The sequence below is a fragment of the Homo sapiens genome (genome assembly GCF_000001405.40).
Source record: "Homo sapiens chromosome 1 unlocalized genomic scaffold, GRCh38.p14 Primary Assembly HSCHR1_CTG1_UNLOCALIZED".
Taxonomy (NCBI): domain Eukaryota; kingdom Metazoa; phylum Chordata; class Mammalia; order Primates; family Hominidae; genus Homo; species Homo sapiens.
In genome coordinates this window covers 35,154-44,121 of record NT_187361.1, presented here as the reverse complement: position 1 = coordinate 44,121, position 8,968 = coordinate 35,154, and the positions used below count along the sequence as shown (strand labels likewise).

General features: G+C 47.8%; 1 long non-coding RNA gene and 1 pseudogene across 1 annotated transcript in view; one reads left to right on the top strand and one right to left on the bottom strand.

Moving 5' to 3' along the window:
* LOC105379854 (uncharacterized) overlaps positions 1-8,968 on the bottom strand; it is a 71,606-nt gene that overhangs the window by 28,771 nt on the left and 33,867 nt on the right. The window lies entirely within an intron of this gene.
* Positions 4,675-5,428, top strand: SNX18P18 (sorting nexin 18 pseudogene 18; annotated as a pseudogene).

Genomic DNA, 8,968 nt, shown 5'->3' with positions numbered 1-8,968 from the left:
CTGCAAACAAACAAACAAACAAATAAACAACAACAAAAAACATTCCAGTTAGCAGAAATTATTTTTTAAAACTTTTTTTTTTTTTTACATAAGTGGTCTCATCTACATAACAAGGCCACCCTTTTGCTAGCCAAGGCTAAACTGAAGGAGTAGTGGTGGTGACCCAATGTGAAGATTCTGCCCTGTTCACTACAGAAACCTGAGTTTGGTTCCTAAGTCTAGTTCTTTCTGTTTGATATTTGTGTTACTTTTAAAGCGTCAGCAGTTTGTCCCAGCTATGATGTGGTAATAAAAGATTCAAAAGGATTTTCTTTACAAGTTCTATGATTAAAAGCTTAATTAAAAGCAAATTTCTTTTTTTTAATTATACTTTAAGTTCTGGGGTACATGTGCAGAACATGCAGGTTTGTTACATAGGTATACACATGCCATGGTGGCTTGCTGCATCCATCAACCCATGATCTACATTAGTTATTTCTCCTAATGCCATCCCTCTCCTAGCCCCCCACCCTGACAGGCCCTGGTGTGTGATGTTCCCCTTCCTGTGTCCCTGTGTTCCCATTGTTCAACTCCCAGTTATGAGTGAGAACATGTGGTGTTTGGTTTTCTGTTCTTCTGTTAGTTAGCTGAAAATGATGGTTTCCAGCTTCATTCATGTCCCAGCAAATGACGTGAATTCATCCCTTTTTATGGCTGCATAGTATTTCGTGGTGTGTATATGCCACATTTTCTTTATCTAGTCTATCATTGGTGGGCATTTGGTTTGGTTCCAAGTCTTTGCTGTTGTGAACAGTGCCGTAATAAACAGACAGGTGCATGTGTCTTTATATTAGAATGATTTATAATTTTGGGGGTATATACCCAGTAATGGGATTGCTGGGTCAAATGATATTTCTGGTTGTAGATCCTTGAGGAATTGTCACACTGTCTTCCCCAATGGTTGAAGTAATTTATATTCCCACCAACTGTGTAAAAGCTTTCCTATTTCTCCACATCCTCTCTAGCATCTGTTCTTTCCTGATTTTTTAACGATGACCATTCTAAGTGGTGTGAGATTGTATCTCATTGTGGTTTTGATTTCCATTTCTCTAATGACCAGTGATGATGTGCTTTGCTTCACATGTTCGTTGGCTGTATAAATGTCTTCTTTGGTAAGTGTCTGTTCATATCCTTTGTCTACTTTTTGATGGGGTTGTTTTTTTTTTTTTTTTTCTTGTAAGTTTGTTCTTTGTAGATTCTGCATATTAGCCCTTTGTCAGATGGATAGATTGCAACAATTTTCTCCCATTCTCTGGGTTGCCTGTTCACTCTGATAATAGTTTCTTTTGCACTGCAGATACTCTTAAGTTTAGTTAGATCCCATTTGTAAATTTTGGTTTTTGTAGCCATTGCTTTTGGTGTTATAGTGATGAAGACTCTGCCTATGGCTATGTCCTGAATGGTATTGCCTAACACAAGGACATTTCTGTGCCTGAGTGCTATACCACCCAAAGTAATTTATAGACTCACTGCTGTCCCCATCAAGCTACCATTACTTTCTTCACAGAATTAGAAAAACTACTTTAAATTTCATATGGAACCAAAAAAGAGCCCACATAGCCAAGAAAATCCTAAGCAAAAACAGCAAAGCTAGAGGCATCACAGTACTTGACTTCAAATTATTCTACAAGGCTACAGTAACCAAAACAGCATGGGGCTGGTAACAAATCAGATCTATAGACCAATGGAACAGAACAGAGGCCTCAGAAATGACACCACACACTTAAAAGCATCTGATCTTTGACAAACCTGACAAAAACAAGCAATGGGAAAGGATACCCTATTTAATAAATGGTGTTGGGAAAACTGGCTAGCCAAATGCAGAAAACTGAAACTGGGCCACACCCATACACCTTAAACAAAAATTAAGTAAGATGGATGAAAGAGTTAGAAGTAAGACCTAAAACCATAAAAAATCTATAAGAAAACCTAGGCCACCAACCTCAGGGGAAATGACCTGTAGTGAAATGCATGGTACAAACATGCATTTCCTGCTTCCTTGAGTGGGCAACGTTGATGGCTAGTCCAACCACTTCAGGCACACCCTTGCAAACGCGGCTGGTTGCTTTTTGAGCCAGCTTGGCCTTGCCCAGCATACACAAGCCTCAATGCAACAACTGTGCTAAAAATGGAGCCACACAGAGGAAATGAGCAGCAAGCTCAGAAGCAGGGTGTGCACTGCCTTTGGGGCTCCAGTCCATGCCTCAGGGCTTGTATGGGACTGCAGGATTCTTGGTTGCCAAGAGGTAGACCATAGACCAGCCGAGGAGGACTTTATGTTCAAGGGCAGAAAGCAGCCAGGTTTACCACCCAGGGGACTCGGCCTTCTGTGGCCCCGGCCAGACTTAGAATTTGGCTCAAAGCAGGACCAGCTCACTCGGAGTACTGTGTCAGTAGCTGGGGCCTGTACATGCTAGGCAAGGCTAAGCTGGCTCAAAGAGCAACCAGCTACCACTGCAAGGGTGCTTCTGGAGGAGGTGGAGCAGCCAGCAACCTCAGCTGCACAAGGAAGCAGGGATGGCCAAGTTCCCACAGCATGAGTGGCCACCGCCTGATGGCTGATCAAGCAGAGGCCTGAGGAAAAGGAGATGGCAGTTGGGCCCTACCTCTAGGGTAGAACAACTGATGTACCCTGACCGGTAGTGAGTGAGGTTGGTGGTGGGTCCACCGGCTCCTGGCACACCCTTGCAGAGGAGGCTGTTTGCTCTTTAAGGCAGCTTGGCCTTGCCTGGCATGCACAGGCCCCAGGTACTGACACGCTGCTCCCAGTGAGCTTGTTCTGCCTTGGACCAAATTCTAGTGGCTTGGAGTTTGCCCAGCATGCACAAGCCTCAGTGTAATAACTGTGCAACAAACGGAGCCACATAGACGAAACAAGCAGCAGGCTCAGAAGCAGGGTGTGCCCTGCCTTTGGGGCTCCAGTCAATGCCTCAGGGTTCCTATGGCACTGCGGGTTTCTTGGTTGCCTAGCTGCAGACCACAGGCTGTCTTGAGGAGGACTTTATGTTCAAGTGCAGAAAGTAGTCAGGATTACCATCCAGGGGACTCTGCCTTCTGTGGTCCTCTCCAGACTTAGAATTTGGCCCAAGGCAGGACAAGCTGACTCGGAGAAGAGTGTCAGTACCTGGGGCCTATGCATGCCAGGCAAGGCCAAGCTGGCTCAGAGCAACCAGCCACCTCTGCAAGGCTGTGCCTGTAGCAGGCAGACAAGCCAGCAACCTCACCCACTCAAGGAAGCCCGGATGGTGAGGTTCCAACAGCATGAGTAGCTGCCACCTGATGCCTGATGGAGCAGAGGCCTGAGGAAAAGCAGGTGGCATATTTAACTCTTTAATCAATCTTAAGTTAATTTTTGTATAAAGCAGATGGCACTAGTCCATGCCTCATGGCTCATATGGCACTGCAGGCCACAGAAGGGCGAGTACCCAGGGTGGTAATCCTGCCTGCTTTCTGCACTTGAACATAAAGTCCTCCTCAAGATGGCCTGTGGTCTGCATCTTGGCCCCACCTTTAGGGTAGAAGAACTGATGTACCACGTCTGGCAGTGAGTGAGATTGGCAGCTGGTCCATCTGCTCCTGGCACACCCTTGCAGAGGTGGCTGCTTGCTCTTTCAGCCAGCTTGGCCTTGCCTGACATGCACAAGCCTCACTGCAACAAGTGTGCTACAAATGGAGCCATATAGAGGAAATGATCAGCAGGCTCAGGAATGGGGCGTGCACTGCCTTTGTGGCTCCAGTCCATGCCTCAGGGCTCGTATGGCACTGTAGGCTTCTTGGTCGCCAAGAGGCAGAACACAGGCTGTCTTGAGGAGGACTTTATGTTCAAGTGCAGAAAGCAGCCAAGATTAGCACCCAGGGGACTGGGCCTTCTGTGGCCCTGGCCAGACTTAGAATTTGACCCAAGGCAGGACAAGCTGACTCGGAGCAGAGTGTCAGTACCTGGGGCCTATGCATGCCAGGCAAGGCCAAGATGGCTCAGAGCAACTAGCCACATCTGCAAGGCTGTGCCTGTAGTAGGCGGACAAGCCAGCAACCTCAGCTACTCAAGGAAGGAGGGATGGCCAGGTTCCCACAGCCTGAGTGGTTGCCGCCTGATTACTGATAGAGCAGAGGCCTGAGGAAAAGCATATGGCACTGTGGCCCTACCTCTAGGGTAGAATAACTGATGTAACCTGACAAGCAGTGAGTGAGGTTGGTGGCCGGTCCACCGGCTCCTGGCACAACCTTGCAGAGGTGGCTGGTTGCTTTTTGAGCCAGCTTGGCCTTGCCCAGCATGCACAAGTCTGTGCAACAACTGTGACACAAATGGAGCCACACAGAGAAAATGAGCAGCAGGCTCAGGAGCAGGGTGTGTGCTTCCTCGGGGGCTCCAGTCCATGCCTGAGGATTCATATGGCACTGCGGGCTTCTTGGTTGCAAAGAGGTAGACCACAGGCCATCTTCAGGAGGTCTTTGTGTGGAAGTGTAGAAAGCAGCCAGGATTACCACCCGTGGGACTCGGCCTCTTGTGGCCCTGGCCTGACAGAATTTGGCCCAAAGCAGGACAAGCTCACTCAGAGCAACATGTCGGTACCTGGAGCCTGTGCATGCTAGGCAAGGCCAAGCTGGCTCAAAGAGCACCCGGAGCATCCATTCTGGTGGATGAGCCAACCACATGGCCAGCTTCTAGGTGTGGGCACAGTGCCACATCTTCCATCACTTTCTGATATATCCCACCACCACTGAAGAGACAGCCTGGAGAGAGTGCAAGAGGAAAGCTGAGAAGGATGAGATAGTGAGTGCTGGCTTCTTTCTGACCCTCAGCACACCCCCAGGTGGTGACCATCAACCTTTAGGGGTGGGAGAGCAAGACTGATGGCTTCAAATAGTTCCCCAAAAAGATGGACACAGGCCACTCAGTTCAACCTCACAGCCAATGAGTTGACAAGCAAGCAAATGACAGTGACAGGCTTTTAGAAAGAGCATCAGAAGGTGGCCAGTTTTTCTTCAGCCTCAGCCAGGCCTTGGAACTTGACTAGGCCATCCACTTCACCAGAGATGCCTTCAAGAACATCAGTAAGCTCCTTGCCAGTCAGTCCAGGAAGGACCTGGACCCAGCCATGGACCTGTTAGTGCTGTCTCAGGGACACAAGACAAACATCCTGGACATCATCCACATACACAAGGAAGCTCTTACCAAAGTCACGGAGAACAGGCAACATGTGGCAGAAGGGAAGACAGAGGTGCAGAGGCTGATGGCGTCATTATCACAGGAACAGGATTTCTTTGGCCACTTTGGCTGAAATTTACCACTTCCATCCAATTCACTCAAGTGAGAGACTTGAAATCACAGATGGAACATTTCTTGCAACAAGAGATACTATTTTTTCAAAAAGTCACCTAAAATTTGATAGTGTTGAATGACTAGCTATTCAATTGTGGACTTTTTCCAGTTCACGGGTACTTTCTACAGCAGAATGATAACAGTATCAAAGAGCTGGTGCCAGCTATCGGTGGTAGTACAAGGATGACTTTGTGCTCAACTGAAACCCAGCTGAATATAGAATTGTGTAGGAAAGTGTTAATATGGTGATAGAATAGAAACAGTAGCAAATGAACTAAATCATACTATGAATGCCTACACTACCATTATAACTTTTTGAAGAATGATAATACCACTTACTTTATTGCCTTTTGAAGTAGGAATATTTTAGTGGATATCCTATAGATCTGAAACCCTATAAAGAATCCCAAAGAAGCTGGCTGGATAAAGCCTGCTATGGATGTCTGTATACTCAAAGACTGATGAGGCAATTCGAATATGTGTCCCCACCAAATCTCATGTTGAGTTATGCTTCCTAATGTTGGAGGTGGATCCTGGTATAAGGTGACGGAATCATGAAGGCAAATTTCTCATGAGTGGTTCAGCACCATCCCCTTGGTACTGTCCTCACAATCATGAGTGACTTCTCGTGAGATCTGGCCACTGAAAACTCTATATCACTCCGTACTCTCCGTGATTTCCTCTTGTCATGTGAGACAATTCACTCTTTCATTACCTTGCACAATGATTGAAAGATTTCTGAGGCCCCCCAGAAGCAGAAGCACTAAGCTTCCTGTCCACTCTGCAGAACCATGAGCCAATTAAACCTCTTTTTCAAAATAAATCTTACCAAAAATGGCAAATGAGGACTGGAGCATTGCTATAAAGATACCTGAAAATGTGGAAGCAACTTCGGAACTGGGTAATGAGTAGAGGTTGGAAGAGTTTGGAGGGCTCCAAAGAAGACAGACAGATGAGAACATTTTTGGACCATCTTAGAGACTGGTTAAATGGCTGTGACAAGAATGCTGACAAAAACATGGACAGTGAAGGCCAGGCTGAGGGGGCCTCAGATAAAAATAAGAAGCTTTCTGGAAAATGTCTCCCTTTTGGATATGGAAAGCTTACACAATGCCTGTACCATCATTGTACCTTAGACACAGTGAACTTGCTTTTTATTTCAGAGACTCGTAGGCAAAAGAGAATGTAGCCTTGACCCAGATGAGACTTTGGACTTTGTAACTTTGAGTTAATGCTGAAATGAGTTAAGACTTTGGGAGACTGCTGGCAAGGCATGACTGTATCTTGCAATGTGAGAAGGACATGAGATTTGTGGGGTCAGGGACAGAATAATACGGTTTTTCTCTATGCCCCTTCCAAAACTCATGTGAAAGTACACTCCCTAATGTTAGAGTCGGGGCCTAGGTGGAAAAAGCTTTAATCATAAAGGAGTGGGAGTGGATCCTTCACAAATGGCAAAGCACCAAGCCCTTAATGCCATCCTCCTGATAGTGAGTGAGTTCTCATGAGATCTAGTAGTTTAAAAGGCTGTGGAACCTCTTTCCTCTCTCTGTCTTGTTCCAACTTCTGCCATATGAAACATGTCATTGCCGCTTGGATTTCCGGCGTGGTTAGGAGGGACCTGATCAGTGTGGGCCTGGTCAGTGGACCTAGGTCAGTGAGGACTATTTAGTGGGATCGTGGTCAGCAGGGGTCTGCTTAGAGAGGGTCTCATTAGTGGGGTCTAGTAGTGGGGTTTTGGTGAGTGGGGACCTATTGGCTGCCAGTTGTTTGGTGTCTGGTCAGTGCAAACCTGGGCTGTGGGGCTTGATCAGTGGAGACCTGGTCAGCTGGGGCTTAGTGCTGGCCTGGTCAGCATGGGTTGGGGCACTAGTGACCAGGTCAAGGGGTGCTATTCAGTGGAGGAGTGGGCACATGGGACTTAGTCAGCAGACTCTGGTGGGCGTGTCCTCATCAGTGAGGCCCTTGTCAGTGGGGCCCTGGTCAGGGCAGCCTTGTCGGTGGGACCTAATCTGTAGTGTCCTGGTCAGAGAGGACTTGGTCAGTGGTGACTTTTGTAGCACCGGTCTACAGGGTGACCTGGTCAGCGGGGATCTCAGCATTTGGTGCCGGTTCAGTGGGGTCTACTCACTAGGGTCCCAGTCAGGGGCATCTGGTGACATAAGGCCTCGTTATTAGGGGCCTGATCAGTGGCAACCTGTTCCCTGGAGGCCTGGTCAGTGGGGCCTCATCTTTGGGGCCAGGGAATGAGGTCATGATCAGTGGAACCTGATCAGTGAGGCCTTGTCAATAATGACCTAGTCAGTGAGGACTTGTCAGTAAGGACTTAGTCCATGAGTCCTTGTCAGTGAGGCCTTGTCAGTAAGGTCCTGGTCAGTGGAGTCCTTGTCATTGTGTGCCTGGCAGTGGGGGCCTTGTTAGTGGGGCCTGGTCATGAGGGTCTAATCAGTGAGGGTGTCATCAGGGAGGACCTGATGTGCAGGGTCTGGTCAGCAGGGACCTGGTCAATGTGGGCTGCTGAGCACTGCTTGGATAAGCCAGGTGCAATGTGCATTATTGAAGGCCTTGTGGACAGCTGGGATAGCCCAGTGATGCCCAAGGGCCTAGTCAGAAGTGGACAAAGCACGTATTTGGATGGACCTGGGAGATCCTGCTCAGAGATTCTGACAGGACAAAGGTAAAGGAAGGGCCAGAGTGGCTGGAGAGAAGGTCACAGTCTATGGGCTGCACAGGATGGAGGAGGCCAGGGAAAAGGCAGGGTGGGCAGTTGGGGTTCAGGGAGAGACAGGTGCATGCTGGGAGGTCAGACCCTGTGAGGGCTTTGGGGGCGTCAGGTTGGGTAGGCTCCAGGCACTCTCGCTCACATAGGATTCCAGAACACTGCTACAAGGCTCTGAGTGTTTGTCCCTCACATAGGATTCCAGAACATTGCTGCCATTGTCTGAATGTTTGTCCCCCACATAGGATTCCAGAAGCCTGCTGCTGGGGTCTGAATGTTTGTCCCCCATCTAGGATTCCAGAACACTGCTGCGAGGGTCTGAATGTATGTCCCTCACATATGATTCTAGAATATTGATGCTAGGGTCTGTATGTTTGCCCTTAACATATGATTTCAAAACACTGCTCCTGGATTCTGAATGTTTGTCCTTCACATTGGAATACAGAACACTGCTGCTGGAGTCTGAATGTTTGTCACTCACATAGAATTCCAGAACACTGCTGCGAGGATCTGAATGTTTGACCCTCACATGGGATTCCAGAACACTGCTGCGAGGGTCTAAATGTCTGTCCCTTACATAGGTTCCCAGCACAATGTTACGAGGTTCTGAATGTTTGTCCCTAACATAGGATTCCAGAGCACTCCTGCTGTGCTCTGAATGCTTCTCCCTCACATAGGATTCCAGAACACTGCTATGAGGGTCTGAATGCTTATACCTCATATAGGATTCCAGAACACTCCTGCTGTGGTCTGAATGTTTGTCCCTCACATAGGATTCCAGAACATTCATGCTGGGGTCTCAATGTTTCCCTTAACATAGGATTTCAGAACACTGCTCTTGGGATCTGAATGTTTTTCCCTCACATAGGATTACAGAACACTGCTGC